Genomic DNA, 21968 nt, shown 5'->3' with positions numbered 1-21968 from the left:
TCCACTTCTCTATCTATCAACTTGGTCTAAGCTACCATTGTTTCTCATGTGTGCTATTATGCTAACCTCCTAACTGGTGTTCTTGGATCTGCTCTTACTTTTTCCAGTCCATTTTCCATGCTGCAACTAACCTACTGAGTTAACACCTTTCCTTCCACCTTCCCATTGCTTTTATCAGAAAGATGCCCACTTTAAGATGGTAGACAATGTGGTTCTGGGTCAGTTAACTGAATATCAGTTCATCAAAAGCCATTTGCTGAATTATGAGGATTTATTTTGTAGTTTTCTATTTTCTGTTTGTTCCTTCTTTGTCATTTGACCTTGAATCTGCCCCTACCCTCTTGTGAGCTCTTGTTCATGGTCACAAAACAGCAGATCCGAAACATATACAGAGGTAAACAGCAGAGCGAAGAACAAACACAGAGACAGGGGCAAGACTAAAACTCTCAGTGATCAGTCCAACTGGTTGTGAGGTAAGTGGCTCACCGGTTTAGAAGAATTGACTCTAGGAATCAATTTCTGAAGAACTGACCTACTTATCCACTCCCTAAGAGGGCTAAGAGATCTGGGTACCACCATTCTTTCCAAGTTATTTCATACCAATTCCTTTTTTACAATCCTGCCAGTCACCTTCAAAGACAAAGGGCTTTTTAGAGCCCAATGTAGTGGTTCCTAACTGGAGGTATAAAGCTGTCTTGGAGATGCTTCAAAATGTGGGAATCATTTTGTTGTCATAAGAAGCAGGGTAGAAGTTGGGACCCAGATCCTAGCCTTTCTCAGATGAAGGTAAAAATGCCAAATATTTTTCTATGTAGGTAACAATTCCACCCAATAATGTCTCTGTTGAGAAACATTTGGAGTGCATGAGTCATCCCACCATAGGCCTTCCCACTTGCTGCTCTTTCTCCCTCCAGTGCTATCCCCACCCTCTCTTTTACCAAGTTAATTCCTACTTAACATGTAGACCTTGGATAAATTGCTACTTCATAGGAATGTTTTGACCTCCCAAATACATCAAACTGTACACTCATAGCACTGTGTGCTCACAGTGTTATAGTTAGACATTTATAGAACAGTTGACTGTCTCTTTTCCCAGAAGTCTGTACAGCTCCATGTGGGTAAGAACCATACCTCCTTTGGTAATGGCTTTTTCGGGTAATCCCCAGCACCTGACAGAGTACCCAGCACATGGAGGCACTCAGTAAGTGTTTGCAGACAGCAAAAGTTAATGAATGTGTGAATGCATAGGACCTGATCTCAAGGGACTTGCTGTATGGCTGGCGACAGGGAACAGAGCCTGGTGTCAAGCCCAGCATAGAACCACCACTGAGCAAAAAAGGAGTCTGCCCACTCTGTACCAAGTGCAGGGCTGGATGGAAGGTTAACCCCCCAATTACATTTTAAACCCTCAGGACTAAAATTAATCATTGGAATGGTGACACTTGATGTAAACCACTTCAAATGGATTGGCTGTGTAAAACCTCTGTCTTGCAGATGTCCTGAGTCAGCTCACGGGTAACCACACCAGCTTTTTTCTGGAGGATTCAAAATACCCCTGGACTGAAGAATGCTGCTGTTTGTTTGTTCCGCCAGCAAAGGCTCAGTTGTTTCTTAGAGAACAAAAGGAGGAAGCAGTGGTCTAGTGCTGGTCAGAGCAAACTTCAGAGCTGCAGGGTGAAAGGGCAGAAAATGATGGAAGAGAAAAATTGAACTGGAGATGAGGAGCAGGAAATAAAAGAGCCAGTTTTAAAATGTTTCCTGTAATTGAATAGAAACATGTGTCCCTCATTTGCAGAGGAACCCCAGGGCAGACAGACCACCTCAGGATATTCATTATTTCTTTAAATCTTTAATTGGGCACTTCAAAAGATCGCAATTAAGCTTTTTAAAAATACAAAGTTTTAGTTGAAAGAAATCCATGGGGACCTACACTGTTCAGTCTCCTGGTCTGGACCAATGGCCTTATTAAAAACAGGAGGAGGTGATGCACAAAGGCATCATTCCTGAGTCATTGGTTAAAGGAAGCATTCAGACTGTCTCTTCCCCATTAATAGGCTAAGAATCAAGGAAACAAAACAAAACAAAACAAAACAAAAAAACAAGAGAAGACAGACAATTATGCCCTATTCAACTCTAACTCCCAAATGGAGATGTGCACCCCAAGAGGCCACCTCATTCCTAATGCCTGTGAAAAAATAAAAGTCAGGGAAATACTTACGGTCCATACTGATCTGCTCTGAACTCTGCCTCTGCATTTGTGCACTTCAGTCCTGTCAACACTTGCATGCGTTGTGAATGGGCCCATCCACTTCTACTTTCAGGTTCTAAACAGCTCACTCCTCATGCTGGACTTGCCTCCCATGGCCTCAGCATCCAGATATCCTGGTTAATTCTGCCCTCTGCTGGAAACTTGCTTTGTCCCTGCTGTGGTCACATTGGTCTCTAGTCTGCTGCTCTGTAACTCATGATTGCTTTTCTAACATTGATCCTTTCTTCCTGTCCTTCGGTCCCTCTAATTCTAACAAGCAGAAATACTCATTATATTCCTAGTGTATGGAGCGCTGCCCAACCACTGCAAGCCAAAGACAAATGAAGGAATCTCAGCTCAGCAACTTGGAAATTTATCTCTGTCTTCCTTGCTTTCACTATGTTTGTTCTGTCCTTGAACCCCAGCTGATATACTTTTGCCTTTTCAATGTCACCACACCCACACAAGGCATTCTACAATTCCTTTTTCTGCTCAGTGCTCTAGATCAGCTATGACAGAGGACCTTTGTTGTTAGTAGGAGTCTTAAGCCTAAAGTCTTAAAGCTGAACTGTAGACACCAGAGCTGAGTAATCATGGTTCTTCCAGAATCTTCCTGAATCCGCTGGGGCTTCCACTGTTTTGGAAGGCTGGAATGGCTAGCGCCATACTCTACATGAGTGGCCAATAGAGCCTGATGCTCGTTGCCCTGTTACGCAAAATCCTGGCTTTCCTAGACACCCACCCATTGCCAGTGACACACTCTCAAGAGGCCCCCAGCCTCTGCCTGGTAGCACACTACTTCTGTTGGGTGGTTTGCGACAGGTAGGATGCAGCCTTGCATATCTTTCTGATTACTGGGAGGCTGCCCTTTCTGAGGAAGGTCCTGGCACTTACTGGGTTTGTGATGGAGATTTCTTGGCTGTAGCCTGTCTCGGGGTGAGCACTGGGTGTAGGCTGATTCTATTCATCATCTCTAGCTTGTTTCTTCAGCTCTGTTTCATCTCTGTTGACCTGTTGTGATGTCTCTTTATACAGGTCAGCACAGCTCACACTCCTGACATGATCCCAGGGAACAGGTTGAAATGACTGAAGGAAAGCACATTTATTATAAACTGGTCCAAAGCCATTTGGGGCTTCTTGAGAAATATCACATTATCAACCTCAGGTACAAAACAGCTAGGTGTCCAATGAATATTCTCTCAATCATTCAGGACAGCTCTTCCTAATGACCATTTTCTCTAAGGTTCTTCAGATTTCTCTAGTTATATTACAGGCAACTGATGCTTTATTGTCATCACAGAGTGACAAGTGGACAGAGGTAAGAAAGGCAGTTAAATAATTATAAGCTTATCCATTGCAGCATTGTAGCAATAGTGTCGTATTAGACACAACCTTAATGTTCATCCATAGGTTACTGGTTGAATAAATTGTGTGTCATTAAAAAAAAGAGTAATTTTCAACTATGAAATAAGATTTATTTCTATCAAATAATATAGTGTGATTTACTGGATGTATCATGAAGTGAAAAAAGCAAGTAGACATTACTACGTATTGTAAGTAACTCTACCTCTATGTAAAAAGGAAGGAGCACTGAGGATATATACTTACATGTTTGTATACATGTAGGTATTTTACATGCTTTCTTGCAAAAAGAAATACAGGAAGTATATACCAGAATCTGAAGATAACAATTACTTGTGAGAAAAAAGTTGGATAGGAATGGAAGCTGAGTGTGGTGGCTCACACCTGTAATCCCAGCACTTTGGGAGGCTGAGGTAAGTAGATATCTTGAGCTTGGGAGTTTGAGCCCAGTCTAGGCAACATGGTCAAATCCCATATCTAAGAAAAATAAAAAAAAAAATAGTGGGGCATGGTGGTCCACACCATCGTCCCAGCTACTCAGGAGGCTGAGGTGGGAAGATGGCTTGAGCCCAGGAGGCAGAGGTTACAGTGAGCCAAAATCATGCCACTGCACTGCAGTCTGGGTGATAGAGCCAGACCCTGTCTCAAAAAAAAAAAAAAAAAAAAAAAAAAAAAGAAAGAAAGAAGAAGAAGAAAAAGAAAGAAATGGATATACAAATTTTCTGAGTATAGCTGTGTATATAATCTTTACTTTAGAACTATATACATGTTTTACATATTCAAAAACTAAAACTAAAATGAGAGCTGAGCTATGAGGATGCAAAGGCATAAGAATGACACGATGGATTTTGGTGGCTCAAGGGGAAGGGTGGGAGGGGGGTTGAGGAATGAAAGAATATACATTGGATATGTGTACACTGCTTGGGTAACGGGTGCACCAAATATAAGAAATCACCGCTAAAGAGCTTATCTGTATAATCAAGCAGATTCCCCCAAAACTATTGAAATAAAACAAACAATGTAAATTATTTTTTAAGTTCACTTAGCTATTGCAATTATTATGTCTCCTTGTGAACAATTGTGTACTGAACTTTTAGTTCTTCCCACATTTCTCAGAAAACTTGAATTTGCCACAGTCTTCCTTTTCTCTCAAACTCCTGTTATTTTAAAGGGCAACTCCAAAATCCATATGGGTGAACTGAATAAATGCCTAACCATAAAGATTCTTGAGCTCCTCGAATCCATAAATCTTCCTAGGTAGGGCACCTATTAGCCTGTGAATACAATGCTCACCTGGCAAAAAGCAATGCATCTCTAAAACTTTGCTCTAATATTCAATGTTCTGATCTTTGTCTTCTGTGTCTCCAGCTGCCTCATTGATTCTCCTCCACTCTCTCCCTTTCATCACCATCACATGGAATCCCTTCCTCCGTTCTGCAGCCTATATACACAGTGATGCATCACTTTACCACTTTTTATATTTCTTTATCATGACTCTTCATATATCTAGAAACCTGAATAGAATGGGATAATTAATGACCTAATTCTTAATACTTTTCAACTGTTTTTCTTTTTGCCTTTCCACTTTGACAGTTCACAGTAAGCATTTTATCTAGTTCCCAGTCTCAGAGGGAATGCTTCTAATATTTCACCATGAAGTATGATGCATGCTGGAGGTGTTTAGGAAATATTCTTTAGTGTGTCAAAGAAGAGCCCTTTTATCCCCAGGATTCTAGGAGATTTTATCATTGATGACTTTTTAATTTCATCACTTGATTTTCTGTATGTATTGAGGCGATTTTTCTCCTTCATTTTGTTAATATAGAGAATTGCAACTATTGATTTTTGACTATTAGACTAACTTCATATTCCTAGAGTAAATTCAACCATGGTTGTAATTTATTTTCTTTTTGTATAGTTAGCTGAGTGTCTGCAAATTTTTAAAGGGTTTGTATCTATCTCCATGCAAAAAGGTAACATACCATTTACCTCTCTTATGATGGCCTTGACAGATTTTTCTCACAAGTTGGAAATATTATTTTTTCTTAATTCTCAAAAACAAATTTAAGATTGTTACATTTCTTTTTTAAATATTTGCTAGAATTCATTAATGAAGTCATCTGGGCCTGAAGTTTTTTTATAGGAAGTTCTAAAAATATTGTTTCATTATTTTTAATAGATACAGACTTATTTAGCATTCTTTTTTTTCTGTCAGTTTTGTAAACTATCTCTCTAGGAATTTGTCCGTTTATGTTCTGAAACATAGTAGACAATTTTGTAAATAATATTCTTATTTTAATGTTTGCAGGATCTGTCATGATGTACACTTACAAATTTCTGGATGTTTTTCACTACCAGTTTCACTAGTTATTGGTTATATTAGTCTTTTCCAAAAAATATACACTTTTGCTCAAAGAAAGTATAGTTGAGGTTTACAATGTGATGTTATGGTATACATACACATAGTAAAATTGTTACGTAGTGTGGCAGATTAACATATCTATTATCTCACACAGTTACTCTTGTGTGTGACAAGAGCAGCTAAAATCTACTTATTTAACAAAAATTCTTAACATAATACAATTATAGTAACTTTAGTCCTCAGGTTGTACATTAGATCTCTATACTTATTCATTCTATGTAGCTGCTATTTCATACCCTTTGACCTACATCTTCCCATTTCCTCTCCATACCTCCCCCTGCCCTTGCTAACCAATATTTTGCTCTCTATATTTGTGTATTTAAGTTATTTTTTAATATTACACATATATATTAGACTATGCAATATTTTTCTTTCCGCATATGACTTATTTACTTAGTGAAATGTCTTTCAGGTCCATTTATGTTGTGGCAAATAACATAGTCTCCTTTTTATGGCTTCCATTTGTCTAATTTATCTTTTGTTGTCTGTGTTTTTGTGGTCTTCTCCTATAAGTCTTTATTCAGACCAATGACCTGAAGTGTTTCCCCAATGTTTACTTCTAGAAGTTTCATAGTTTCAGGTATTATATTTAAGACTTCAGTCCATTTTGATTTGAATTTTGTGTATGGTGGATAAAGGAATCTATCTTCATTCTTCTGCATACGCTTATCCAGTATTCTCAGCATCATATATTGAAGAGACTGTCCTTTCCTCAGTGTATGTTCTTGGCGCTTTTGTCAATTATGAGTTGGCTGTAAATGCATGGATTTATTTCTGAGTCCTCTATTCTTTTCAATTGTCTATGTGTCTGTTTTAATACTAATACCATACTTTTTTGGTTACTATACCTTTGTAGTATATTTTGAAGTCAGGTAGTGTAATGTCTCCAGCTTTGTTCTTTTTGCTCCATATTGTTTTGGCTACTTAGAGTCTCTTGTGGTTCCATACAGATTTTAGTTGTTTTTTGTTTTTTTTTTTTCCTATTTCTGTGAAGAATGTCATTGGTGTTGTGGTAGAGATTGCATTGAATCTGTAAAGCCCTTTGGATAGTGTTGACATTTTAACAATATTAATTCTTCCAAAATTATGAACATAGGCTATCTTTTGTTTGTATGTGTGTGTTGTCTTCAGTTTATTAAATCAGTGTTTATAGTTTTCCTTGGAGATAACTTTCACTCCTTTGATTTAATTTATTCTACAGTATTTCATACGTTGTGTTACTATTGTAAATGAAATAGCTATCTTGATTATTTTTCAGTTGTTCACTGTTGGCATGTATAAATGGTAGTAAACTTTTACATCAGTTTTGTATCCTACAACTTTATTGAATTTGTTTATACATGCTAACAGTTTTTAGGTAGTGTTTATATCATGTTGTCTACAAACAAGCATAATTTGACTTCTTCCTTTCCATTTCAGAGGCACTTAGCTTCTTTCTCTTGTCTAATTGCACTGTCTAGGACTTCTAATACTATGTTAAAGTGATGAACGTATTCATTCTTGACTTATTTCCAATCTTAAGAGGAAAAGTTCAATTTTCCCCATTGATTCTGATGTCAGCTATGAGTTTGTCATATATGTCCTTTATTTTTGTATGTTCTTTCTGTATCCAGTTTGTTCAGTTTTTATCATAAAAGTATGTTGAATTTTGTCAAATACTACTTTACCATCTATTGATTTTATGATTTGTTTTTTTCCTTGATTCTGTTAATATGATATATCATGTTCATTGATTAGCATGTGTTGAACAATCCTTGTATCCCTGGAATGAATCCCTCTTGGTCATGGTGAATAATATTTCTAATGTGTTGTTGGATTCACTTTGTTAGTATTTTAAAATAATTTTTGCATCTGTGTTCATCAGGGATATTGGCGTCTAGTTTTGGTATAGGGGTAATATTGACCTCATAGCATGAGTTTAAAAGTATTCTCCATCTTTGATTTTTTGGAATAGTTTGAATAGAAGTGCTATTAATTCTTCTGTTAAAGTTTCGTAGAATTCAACAGTGAAGCCATCAGGTCCTAGGCTTTATATTGATGGGAGACTTTTTATTATTGCTTTGATTTCATTACTCATTATTGATCTGTTCAGGTTTCGCATTTCATCATGGTTCAATCTTAGTAGGTTGTATGTGTCCAGTTATTAGTCTATTTTGATAGGTTTTCCAATTTGTTGGCATATAGTTGTTCATAATAGTCTCTATTGGTCAATTGCCTTTCTGTGGTATCAGTTATTTCTCTCTTTCATTTATAATTTTACTTGACTCTTCTTTCTCTTTTCTTAATCTAGCTAATGGTTTGTTAATTTTGCTGGACTTTTTGAAGACAAACCTTTCATTTTGTTGATTTTTTTTTGGGGGGGGGAAAGAGTCTCGCTCTGTCGCCCAGGCTGGAGTGCAGTGGCTTGATCTCCGCTAACTGCAAGCTCCGCCTCCCGGGTTCACGCCATTCTCCTGCCTCAGCCTCCCCAGTAGCTGGGACTACAGGTGCCCGCCACCACACCCAGCTAAATTTTTTGTATTTTTTTAGTAGAGACGGGGTTTCACCGTGTTAGCCAAGATGGTTGTGATCTCCTGACCACGTGATCCACCCGCCTCGGCCTCCCAAAGTGCTGGGATTACAGGCATGAGCCACCGCGCCTGGCTGATTTTTTTTTTTTAGTGTCCATTTTATTTATAGCTGATCTGAATTTTTTTTTTATTTTTTCCTTTTGCATAGCAGGGAGGCTGAGGTGGGGGAAATGCTTGAGCCTGGGAGTGTGCACCATCACACCAAGTTAATTAATTAATTTTTTTTTTTTTTTGTAGAGACAGGGGTCTCCCTGTGTTGTCTAGGCTAGTCTTGAACTCCTGGCCTCAAGAGATCTTCTTGCCTTGGCTTCCCAAAGCGCTGGAATTACAGACATGGGCCACTGTGTTTCACCTGCTCTGGTTTTTATTATTTTTGTCATTCTACTGATTTGGGGTTTGGTTTGTTCTTGCTTTTCTAATTCCTTGAAGTGCATAATTAGGTTGTTTGTGTCAAATCTTTATACTGTTTTGTTGTAGGCTTTTATGGCCATAAACATCTCTCTTAGCACTATTTTTGCTGTATCTCATAGATTTCAGAATATTGTATTTCCATTTTTACTTGTTTCAAGAAATTTTGAAATTTCTGCCTTAATTTCTTCATTGACCCAGTGGTCATTTAGGAATATGTGTTTTAATTTCCATGTATTTGTAGAGTTTCCAAAATTCCTCATCGTATTCCATTGTGATCAGAAAATATACTTGATAAAATTTTAACATTCTTGGATTTGTTGAGACTTGTTCTATGGCCAAAAGTATGGTTTATCCTGGAGAATGTTTCACATGCTGATGAGAAGAATGTATATTCTGCAGCAGTTGGGTAAAATGTTTCCTAAACATCATTATGCTCATTTGGTCTAGAGTGTTGTTTAACTGATGTTTCTTTATTAATCTTATGATCTTATGTCTAGATGAACTGTCCATTACCGAGAGTGGGGTGTTGAAGTCCCCAGTCATTATTGTGTTATGGTCCATCTCTCCATTTAACTCTACTAATGCTTGTGTTAAAACTTTGTGTGCATTGGCATTGGGCCATATATATTTACAATTCTTACATCTTCTTTCAGAATTGACCTCTTTATCATTATATAGTGACATTATTTACATCTTTTTACAGTCATTGACATGAAGTCTAAATTATCTGATAAAAGTATAGTTACATTTGCTTGGAATATCTTTTTCCATTCTTTCATTTTTAGTCTCTGTGTCATTGTATGTGATGTCAGTTTCTTTTAGGCAGCATGTATTTGGTTCTTTTTTTTAAATTATTCATTCACTACATGTTTTAATTGGAACATTTAGTCCATTTACATGCAATACATGCAATGTTATTATTGATTTACTTTTCTTTGGTTGTTTTATAACTTCTCTCTTCCTTTCTTACCATCTTTTTTGTGGTTAATGGTTTCCTCTAGTAGTATATTTTAATCTATTGTTTTTGAGAGTTTATTTCTAGTTTCAGTGTATCTATTATACACTAAAATATATATGCATATATATACTTTTGCTTTGTGGTTACCATGAGGCTTACAGAGAACATCTTGTAGACACAATAAGTAAGTTTAAACAGATGACAAGTAACTTTTATCACAAATAAACAGACAAATAACAAAAACTCTACACTTTAACTCTATCTCCCCTATTTTGACATTTTTGTGTCTTAATTTACATCTTTGTTTATTGACTATCTCTTAACAGTTTTCCATAGTTATTTTTATTTTTGGATAGATTCATATTTGTGTTTCATACTAGAATGTGAGTGGGTTACACACCATAATTACAGTGTTAAAGTATTGATTCTGTGTACTTACTTTGGTCAGTGAGTTTTACACCTTCAAATGTTTTCTTTTTGCACATTTATATCATTTTATTTTAAACAAAAAACTCTCTTTGGCATGTCTCATAAGAGAAGTCCAATGGTGACGAATTACCTTGGTATTTTTTTTCTTTGCCTGAGAAAGACTCTGTCTCTCCTTCATATTTGAAGAAAAGCTTTGCTGAATACAGTGTTTCTGCTTGAAAGTTTTTTTTCTTCTTCAGCACTTTGAATATTTCATCCTAGTCCCTCCTGGCCTGTCTTTTTTTCCCTGAGAAGTCTCTTGCCAGATGAATTAAAGGTAGTTTATTTGCTACTGACTTCTTTTTGTTGGCTTATTTTAGAATCCTTTCTTTGTCTTTGATATTTGAGATTTTGATTATCATACGCCTTAGGATAGTCTTATTGGGTTGAATCTGTTTAGTGATGTGTGATCTTCCTATTCCTGAATAATTGTATCTTTCTCTAGGTTTGAAAAGTGTTCTTTTATTGTTTTGTTTAATAAGCTTCCTACCCCTTGCTCTTTCTCCACTCTCCCTTTAGTGCTGATTATCCTAAGATTTGCAAGAAATATAGATATTCTTTATATCTTCCAGATGTTCCTTATTCTTTTTCATTCTTTTTTTTCCTGATTGTATATTGTTCAATAGCCTGTCTTCAAACTCATTGATTTTTCTTCTGCTTCATCCTTTCTGTTATTGAGAGCCTCTAACGTATTTTTCAGTTCAATAAATTAATTTCTTAGTTCCAGGATTTCTGTTTAATTTTTAAATTATTCAATATCCTTGTTAAATTTACCTGATACATTTCTGAATTGCTTTTCTGTGTTGTCTTAGAGTTTGCTGAGTTTCTTTAGGATCATCGTTTTGAATTCTTAATCTGAAAACTAACACATCACTCTCTCTTTATGGTTAGTCATTGGCTCCTTGTTTTTTTTTTCCATTTGGGGAGGTCATGGTTCCCTGTCTGTTCTTGTTTATTGTAGATATATGTGTATGGCTTCACATTGAAGAGGTATTCTAGTTATTTATTCTAGTCTTTGCTGTCGGGTTTGTTTAGGTCTTTTGAAGGTATGTATATTTACTTAGAGGTTCTTTGCAGTTGCCTATGAGTCCCCTTAGTCCTAGATCACTGTTTCCTTATCAGTACTAGATGGTGGCTTAAGTCAATGTTAGCCTTGGCTCTTGCAAACATGAAGAGCACTGCCCATCCTGGAAGGGAAAATTGCAAAATGGATATGTGGCTATGTGGAAAGGCTGGTGTAGGTGCCTGCCCAGAAGACCCATGGAACATGCCTCCTATAGCATAGTGCTAGTACATAGGCACTGTGATTTAGCATCTCCTTTCACTAAGATAAAGAGCAGGGTTTTATGGGCTGATTTTTTTAGTTCTTGCTGTTCTCATTCTTCACAGCTGCCTTTAGGTGTTTTCTACCTAAACACATTTGGAATGCTTCTCTTGGGTTGAGGCAGAAACGGTTTTTCTGCAAGGAAATCCAAAATGATGGGGACGCTAGTTGTCAGCCCCAATTTCACTTTTTTCCAGTGTAGAAGCCATTAAGTCCAGGAGGAATTTTCTGTGCATGGTGCCTGGTAGATTGGGAGGGAAGCATTGTGTATAGAGAATTCTATTTGTATTACCATTTCTCTGAGTTTTTAACCTCTTTGTGCCCCTGGGGACTTTCTCAGCTACAGATTTGAGTTCTAGGATATTGCTGATGACGATCTTGGCATTAAATATTTGTTTTTGGCTTTCTCTTGGGGACAGTGAAGCCAGATTGCTTCTACTTCACAGTTTTTGTGTATCACCTGCAGCAAGGTCTGGATTCATGGTGCTACTCTCTGGACTCTTTCTGGACTGGCCACCGCTGTGCCCCAGAAAGTGCTCACTCTGTGGATCATGGACTCACCTTCACAAGGGAGCCTTAAATAAAATAAATAGCAGCCATTGTTTTGAACTGAGATCCTCAACAAGGTCCTGATAGATAAATCATAATGGAGTCACTTATGCTAAATATCACAGAATCAAACAGAATTTAAGAATGGGTCTATTTTCCAAAAGAAAACAGGAGATTCACAGCAAGCAGTTATAAGAAGCCCAGATAATCTGACATTAATTCATACCAGGAAAGTAACTTTGAACCACCAATTCACTTTTTGTTCCTCATTTCTCCTTCCTTCAGTCTTTTCTGCCTATAAGATCCACCACCCCTGCTCTGCTCAGCAAAGCACCTTTCTATTTCACAGATTGAATGCTGCCCTATCAGTGAATGAGCAATTAAAGCTAATTCGTTACTGATATGGTTTGGCTGTGTCCCCACCCAACTCTCACTTTGAATTGTAATAATCCCCATGTGTCAAGGGCAGAGCCAGGTGGAGATAGTTGAATTGTGGGGGTGGATTCCCCATTTCTGTTCTTATGAGAGTGAATAAGTCTCATGAGATCTGATGGCTTTTTCAAGGGGAGTTTCCATACACAAGCCCTCTTGCCTGGCCACCATGTTAGACATGACTTTGCTCCTCAGTTGCTTTCTGCCATGATTGGGAGGCCTCCCTAGCCATGTGGAACTGTGAGTCAATTAAACCTCTTCCCTTTATAAATTACCCAGCCTCGGTTATGCCCTTTTTAGCATCATGAGAACAGACTAATAGAGTTCTTAAATTCTTAAACTCAACTTCTTAAAATGTCATTCTTTGACAGCCTAGAACCATTTTATTTGCCCAATGAGTTATAGCTCTTCTCATCAAAAAGCGTACGTGTGTATATATATGTTCTATATACATATATACACTTATATATACATATATATGCATATATACACATATGTATACATACACACATATACGTATATATGTATACATACACACATATACGTATATATGTATACATACACACATATACGTATATATGTATACATACACACATATACGTATATATGTATACATACACACATATACGTATATATGTATACATACACACATATACGTATATATGTATACATACACACATATACGTATATATGTATACTTACACACATATATAAGTATACATACACATACATACATGTATGCATATACACATATACATATATACGTATACGTGTATACGTGTATACGTATACGTGTATACGTGTATACGTATACGTGTATACGTGTATACGTATACATATATACATATACACACATATATATGTATACATAACAGTTGTTGTTGTTTCTTATTTCTGAATATTCTTTAATAGCCTTACAAGATTCACAGCTTGGCTCAACAGGTTGATACTATGGACTTCATGAGCCAGGCTTTCAGTTAGATTTTTCCAAAGGGATGCACTGACAGGGTATGGAAGGTTGGCAGGACCTTCTCTGCTTCTTTTCTGCTAGACCATTGGATGACTGCAGCTGAAATTCCCTACCTAAAATCACAAGTCACATACAGAAGCCCTCTTCTGTAGCTACTGTGATAACTTCCTTTCAAATTCTAAGAAAGATATTCTCTCTTTGTTCCTTCTTCTGTTTTTAATTTAATCCACTTTTTCCAGTTTTGTTAGTTGAAGAGTCTATCAGAATTAGTGTACCAATTTTTGAAAGCGAATTCTTCATCTACTTTTCATGGCTTCGAATGGCCTTAGATGTTATACCCCACTGATGGATAGCTACACTTCAAACCTGTTTAAGTTATAAACACAAATATCTAATTGCCTGTTGGAAAACTCCATCCCAATTTACCATTCATATCTACAACACAACATGTTGCAAAATAAATGTTTTATATCTAGCTTAAATGTGTTCTTTATCTCTGATTTCTTACCCAGTTGAATAATCTTTGTCAATAAAAAGTTTGTATTCAAGTGACATGTATTCAGGCCTGAAAATATGTGAAAGTTTAATTGTGAATTTCTGAGATTTTTTACCTCTCCCTTTAGAGAAAAGTTTAAGAATCTCATGTTTTTTGCTGTCTTCTTCTGCATGAGGGGGTTATTTATTTTTCACCTGTCACTTATGATCGAAGTTTTCGTGAGTCTCAGTTGTATGCACTCTTCTATCGAACTCCTTACCCTGGGAAGGCTGTAGGATTTATTTCTTTCTTCTCATTTATATGTTAAAAAGAGAAGCTGATGGAAGTCAATGTTAGCAGATACTTTTGAATGAAAACTGGCTTTCTTGGTTTCTTGAGTCACAGGAATTTTATTTTAAACTTGTGTCTGTTGACCAAAAAAGAAGATGCTGAGGCAAAGTTAACAAAAGTAGAGAGTTTATTTGCACTAAACTTGTGGATTGCAACCTGGGAGCATAGACTCAAGTTGCCCTGAATATACCCTTCAATTAGCAGCAGTCACAAGTAGATTTTTAAAGACAAAAAAAAAAAAAAAAGAGGAAGAGGGAGCGAGCTGATACAAAGTTGTTTGTCAGGGTTTCTCATTGATTTAGGGAAACAGCATTGATAGTGATTGGCTACACATTGTCAAGCTATAGGGTGTTGGTTATAGTGTCCAGAGCAATATTATGAGGTTAATGTGTTGCTATTTGTGTCAATAGCAGGTTTAAGAAATGAACACACAGCTCAAGGGGGGAAGTGGGACATGACCTGCTGCAATCTCATTTGACATCTCTCTGGGCCTAATAATTTAAAAGGACTCATATTCCTCAGATAAAAGTTTTTTTTAATTCCTCATGTCTGAGCTTTATTTTCTTTCTTTTTCTTTTATTTCTCTATTTATTTCTTTTAGGGCAAATTCAGTAAATCATCTTTCTTATTTTAATCAAAACCCTTGTTTCCAGTGGGAACATTTTATGGTATTTATCCCTCCTTTAAGTTGGTTGATCCATTTACTATGATCAGTCTTGAGTATCTTGAGAGGGTGGTAGATGAAGCACCTCTTGCCCTGACCTTTATTTCTCATGGAGAACATGTACCATGGAGGTCATATAACTTCAAAACAGAGCTTGAGATCCAAAGAATCCTGATGTATTTGTAAATAGCCTAAGTAGTTTTAACTTTGAGTTCCCAGAAGGACCAATTTAGCCATTGGTCCTTCTGGCTCAATGCTACACACATAAAGAAAAAACCTGAGGATCATTTGATCCAAGTGCTGCAGTATTGGCTGTAGAAAACAAAACAAAACAAAACAAAAAACAAACAAAAAACCCTCATCGTTCATCAAAATTGTTTCTCTTTTACTCATAAAATGAATTAGTCACTGAGAGGTAGCTGACCTGCGAGAACCTACACTTGCCATGCTTCCTGGCCTTTAGGTGTAATCAAGTCACTTCTTACCACGGAGTTATAGGGAGCAGGTGTGCTTTTTTTTTACTATCAATTTTTCCTTCCACCACTTGGGTATAAATGGCTCCAAGATTAGGATACTGGAACAGTAAGATTAAGTCGTCTCTGTCACTGAAAGAGAGTTACCTGTCAATAGTTACACCTTTAGAGAGCAAGAAGTAACTTTGATTTTGTTAAACTACAAAAATTTGGGCAGTTAACTTGTTACCACAGTGCTATGGTTTGAATGTTTGAATCCCTTCAAAATTTATATGTTGAAATCCTAACCTACAAGGTAATGGAATTAGGAAGTGGGAACTTTGGGAGATAATTAGGTTGTGGGGGGCAGAATACTCATGAATGAGATTAGTGCCCTTATAAAATAAAAGGACCAAGAGAGACCTCTTGCCATCTCCAGCATGTGAGAAGACAGTAAAAGATGGCTGTCCATAGAATCAGGAAGCAGGTGCTCACAAGACACTAAATTTGCTAGTGCCTTGATCTTGGACTTCCCAGACAGCAAAAATGTGAGAAATAAATTTTAGTTGTTAAAACATGCATTTTATGGCATTTTGTTATTGCAGCCCAAGTAGACTAAGACATACAGATAGTGGTTGGAACTCACATTTATTGAAGTCTGTAACTACTGCAATTGTATTAGGAATTATTAAATTCTGCAATTTACTAGGAATTTTTACACGTTACTTTTAATTTTTCTGGTACACTTAGTTGGCAAATTTTATAACTAATTTACAGACAAGGAAACTGAGACTCATACAAGCTTATCTTGTCCAAAGTTAAAGCAAAACACTTAAGCATTTATCATTTTTAGATGGCCAGAATGTTTTCCCTTCATTACAGTTCTAACAACAAAATTTCTTCTCCTTATCCATTCATTGGTCACATGACTCACCTTGGCCAATGAGTCTTCCATTCCACCAGCTACACTAATGCCAGAGTAGACATCTCGAAACCAAACAGAACCTATTCAGAGCTCTCCACAGGACTTTAGTGGACAGACATTGACATAGAAAACTTCATTCCATTGGAGCTACTTACCTAGAACATGTTCCCAAGCATCATTTTTATTGGAGGAACTAACTTCCTCTGCAAAATAAAGTCCAGCATGAATAAGGGCAGATCAAAGAAAGAGTCCTGGCCATGTTGAATTTTGGTTCTAGCACTTGAGACCTGGCAACTGTAACTATCTTGGTTCCTGTGAGCTTCCCCGACAACCCTCACAGTTACCTGAGCCAATAAAGTTTCAGTTATGCTTTAACTTGTGTGAGCTGAGTTTGTTACTTATTGCCAAAAAAGCCTAACTAACACAGTCATAAAATTTCACATAAAAGCGCCATAAGCCAGGTTTACTTCATGACTAACACTTCCTATTGTATCTCTTTCCCGGTACTTTTAGCTAAGCCTTATTTTAGCTAAGCTGTATCTATATATGTCGCTATTGCTCAGGCTCTTTTGACAAGGTAATTCACATCTTTCTTGTGTATTTATTTCTTTGAGATCAGATACCATTCTTACTGGTATTTTATGAATTGAGAAAATTGACAGCTGCAATGTCCTTCTATGTCTTGTCTTAACTTTTGTTGAATTTAGGAACCAAAGTTCAAAATTGAAAAATTAAAATTGTATGAAAGTCTCATCTCAATAACAGTTGATTTTTTAAATAAAAGAAAATATTATCTTTCTAGCATCTCCAGTTGTTCAAAGTTTCGAAGCTTAGAAGAACTATATTTTAAATCTCTCTCTCTAAATTTATGTGTGTATAGAAGTAAAACTGTTGGGTTAAAAATTAAGAATAAGGAGAAGCTGCAACATTACTGGGTTTATTTTTTGATGAGAAGCTGGAAAAGGGGCAGGCAGCACCTTTCATGCTTTCAACACATGCATCAGATATACAAACTGGCCTGGAATTAAATCCCCTTAGAGTTTTCTCAGAGGAGGGAACCATATTTTAACTTAGAATTCATTCTGTTCATATAAATTCAAATATGTTTTTTCATTACACTGGGTGCCTCCCAGGTATAGGATAAGAAAAGAAACACTCATGAATCCCATATGACAGTAGGCACAGAATGCTAATGCAGACAAAATTCCCCTCATTGTTACTATCACTGGGTATACCATAAAAGAAGCAGCTTTTTTGTTCACAGCTCTGTCAAGAGGGAGAATCCACCTTTTGCTCAAACCCCGGTCAGAAATATACTCTTTTCTCTTAATAGAGAAGGGTTTATCAACCATCCTGGTATAGGGAACAGGTAACTGACCAGAGACTTAGAAAGCCAACATTAGAAAGGCAAAAAGGTATAGAGCCATATGAAGAAAGCAAAACCCTGCCTCCAAACCTATAATTTGTAGCAAACATTTTATACATCCTGTTGGAAAGAACAGAAGTTTACTTTAAATGTCATGCCAAAGACACCCAGCTTGAAGTACAAATTGAAATAACAAATAAGCAAAGTGGAAGAATTTTATATCCTGTATCAAGAAAGGACAGAACATGACTATTATCTTATAAAAAGAGATAAGAGACAAGGAGATCATAGGGTATTTGCAAAGAAACATGTAGAATATAGGATTGATTTATTTATGGCATGACTTTTTGGTCACAACATTCATAATTGTTTTATAAAATTGCCTTGAAGTAACTTTGGAGTTATATGCTCATGCTTTCAATTCCACAATTAATACTGGCATCTATAGACCACATAAAGCCATGAGTTGAAGAAATCTTGACGCATGTATGAATTGTGGGTCCCCATTTGATGACTGTAGTCAAGACTGGGCCTCCCTTAAAAATAAGTGATCTGACTCTTCTCCAACCGCTCCTGTCTCCCAAGGAGCAGCAGCCTGAGTGCTGAGGGTCTGATGGTATCCCTGGCCTGGATTTCCCTAGTTGGTGGTATTAGGAAGCTTATTGCTCAGCACTGGTTGGACAGCCCTTGAGGCAGCAAACTTTGCTTTTTCTCCCTGTTGGAAAAAACAAAGCTTTTGTGTCTGGAATTGGTTCCTTCCAGTGGGTTCCTGCTCTTGCTGACTTCAACAAAGTGGGTTCTTGGTCTTGCTGACTTCAAGAATGAAGCCGCAGACCTTCATGGTGAGTGTTACAGCTCTTAAAGATGGTGTGTCCGGAGTTTGTTCTTTCCCATGTTCAGATGTGTCCGGAGTTTCTTCCTTCTGGTGGGTTCGTGGTCTCGCTGACTTCAGGAATGAAGCCGCAGACCCTCACTGTGAGTGTTACAGCTCATAAAGGTAGTGCAGACCTGAAAAGTGAGCAGCAGCAAGATTTGTTGTGAAGAGCAAAAGAACAAATCTTCCACAGCGTGGAAGGGGACCTGAGTGGGTTGCCCCTGCTGGCTAGGGTGGCCAGCTTTTATTCCCTTATTTGGCTCCACCCACATCCTGCTGTTTGGTCAGTTTTACAGAGCGCTGATTGGTCCATTTTACAGAGTGCTGATTGGTCCACTTTACAGAGTGCTGATTGGTGCGTTTACAATCCTTTAGTTACATACAGAGTGCTGATTGGTGCATTTACAATCCTTTAGCTAGACACAGAGTGCTGATTGGTGTGGTTTTACAGTGTGCTAATTGATGTGTTTACAATCCTTTAGCTAGACACAGAGCACTGATTGGTTCGTTTTTACAGAGTGCTGATTGGTGCATTTGCAATCCTTTAGCTAGACACAGAGTGCTGATTGGTGCACTTACAATCCTTTAACTAGACACAGAACACTGATTGGTGCGTTTACAATAATCTAGCTAGACAGAAAAGCTCTCCAAGTCCCCAGTCAACCCAGAAGCCCAGCTGGCTTCACCTCTCAGTTTGTTCCCTGAGGGCAGCTTGCCTTTCTTCAGTCTCTCTTTTTTGACTGAATGGGGCATTGGAATCTGTTAGATTCAGCTGTTCCTCAGGGGTAAGCAGCTGTCCCAGTTTCTCAGGAATCAAGGATTTTATGGGATGAGTACTTTCAGTACTAAAACCAGTACAATCTCAAAACTGGGACAGTTAGTCACCCTAAATCAAGGTCCCCATTCAAGAAAGGTGATAGATGGCCTTGGCACAGTCTCTGCTCTTGTCAGTTTAAGTTTTTCCTAAATGTAGGAGGTGGAAATCTGGGTGCCAGTGGAATCAACAATGATGAGGATGATAGAGATAATAACACTGTTGATAATCACTGAGACCTTATGATTGTGCAGTAATTACTGTAAATATTTTACATGTATTATCTTATTCCATTTTTCCAAGAACCCCAGCGTTAGCAAAAGTGCCATCCCTATTTAACACATGAATAACAGAGGGCAAAGAGGTTATGAAAATGAATCTATGTCCACCTGGTGAGGTAGTGGTACAAGGTGAGAACACAGGCAATCTAACACCTGAGCTAGCACACTTAAACACTACCATATTTTAATGCTCCTTTAATCAGTGACTCTAATGTCCATGGATTCAGTTAGAACCTGGGTGAGCCAGGGGTGGGTCCTGGGCCACTTGACTCCAATCTTTCCCCTGACATCAATCCAGAGACTCTACTTAGTTCCAGTGATATTCCATGGGGTTTTCTGAAAATCTGTCTACTAGTTACATTACATGGCACTTTTGAAACGGGAAAAGTTCCCTTGTCCCCCTCGCAGGGTTGTGCGATGGGAATGTGGCTTGCTTCTTCAGTGCCGCGCTATTCAAACCTCTAGGGGAGCATACAGACAGGCAGGTTGTGGGGCTCTAACCCCACGGCAGTGTCTAGGGGTGAATGTTTACAGCTCCTAAAGCCCCAGTGGGTGTGTGTTACAGGGTGCTCTTTTAGTTTTGCTGTCTATAGGCTTGTGTTAACCAGCTCGATTTAGACCCTCTCCCTTGTCGCAGGACAGAGGGCTTTCTGTATCCTGGGTTCTTGCCTTGGTGTACTGGAAGAATTGAATCACACGTGGGCTTGGAGAATGAATGCAAGATTTTATTGAGTGGCGGTAGCTCAGGGGAAGTCAGAAGGGATGGAATGGGGAGATGTTCCCCTGGAGTCAGGCCACTCACCGGCCAGGGCTGTCCTCCAACTCCCCAGCCAAATTCTGCATTGTTCTACTTTGCCTGTGGGTGGCCTGGCAGTGTGTCAGTGCCTGTCAGTGTGTTCCTCTCCATGTCCAGTCACCCAGGTATTCCTCCGCTGATGTGCTCTTCTTGACGTCCAGCTGCCTGTGTGCTCCTCTGCTGATGTGCTCCAGCCACCTGTGTGTCTGCCTGCTAGAGTCTTGGGGGGCTTTTATAGGTACAGTATGGGGGAGTGGCAGGCCAGGGTGGTCTTGGGAAATGCAACATTTAGTCAGGAAATGCCTGTCCTCACCCAGATCCATGGTGGTGGAGCCCTAACCAGGGACCATGCCCTCCTGTATCCAGCACTTCCCTTCCTCCCTTCTGTATCTTTTTTTTTTTTTCTGAGACAGGGTCTCACTCTGTCGTTCATGCTGGAGTGCAGTAGCGCGATCTCGGCTCACTGCAACCTCCGCCTCCCGGGTTTAAGCGATTCTCCTGCCTCAGCCTCCTGAGTAGCTGGGATTACAGGCGCCTGCCACCGCACCCGGCTAATTTTTGTATTTTTAGTAGAGACGGGTTTTCACCACCTTGGCCAGGCTGGTCTCAGGCTCTTGACCTCATGATCCACCCTCCTTGGCCTCCCAAAGAGCTGGGATTACAGGCGTGAGCCACTGCATCCGGTCCCCTTTTGTCTACTAAAATTCTTTCTCTTGGGTGTCAGTTTTCTCCTTTTTAAGAGGATAATAATAATTTTCATTATCACCAAATTAACAATCTTGTCATGATTATGCATAATCATCTATATGAATAACAATTTTAAAAGATAAATATTGGTTAGACTATCAGTCTTTCAGCAAGCTTTCATAGAGTGGAGAAAAAATAAAATCACACAGATCTGACTACAATGTGGAAGTTATACAGAAGTGCTGAAAAGAGAAGAGCGTGGTTCCCTCTGTCTCAAAAAAAAAAAAAAAAGAATTTGCTTCATTAACCTCTATTTTCTAGGACCATAGAGTGATGGAATGCAACAAGGTGTTGGGACAGTATCTCATTCTTAGTCTAAGAAACCTGTCATATTAGGTAGAATCCTCTGCAAGAGATGCAGCCAACAGCAGGCAGAGATTTACTTGAATAAAGATGCCAGTGTACATTGATCTATGAAAATGTGCTCTACTCTCTGATTAGAATGGAATAAAGCCTATCATTTGACATTGGACCATCCAGAGGTGGATCTAGTAAGTAATAAAAATGTA

The 21968-nt window shown here is 38.1% G+C and overlaps 2 long non-coding RNA genes across 4 annotated transcripts in view; one reads left to right on the top strand and one right to left on the bottom strand.

The window, feature by feature from the left end:
- The window catches only part of LINC01889 (long intergenic non-protein coding RNA 1889), an 82638-nt gene that overhangs the window by 45497 nt on the left and 15173 nt on the right, over positions 1–21968 (bottom strand). The gene's annotated exons all lie outside the window — the stretch shown is intronic.
- LOC124900611 (uncharacterized) overlaps positions 1–21968 on the top strand; it is an 85494-nt gene that overhangs the window by 63266 nt on the left and 260 nt on the right. The window lies entirely within an intron of this gene.

This window comes from Homo sapiens, chromosome 2, assembly GCF_000001405.40.
Source record: "Homo sapiens chromosome 2, GRCh38.p14 Primary Assembly".
In the NCBI taxonomy this organism is placed as follows: domain Eukaryota; kingdom Metazoa; phylum Chordata; class Mammalia; order Primates; family Hominidae; genus Homo; species Homo sapiens.
The sequence above is the reverse complement of the archived record's forward strand: the minus strand, read 5'-3'. Positions and strand labels throughout refer to the sequence as shown.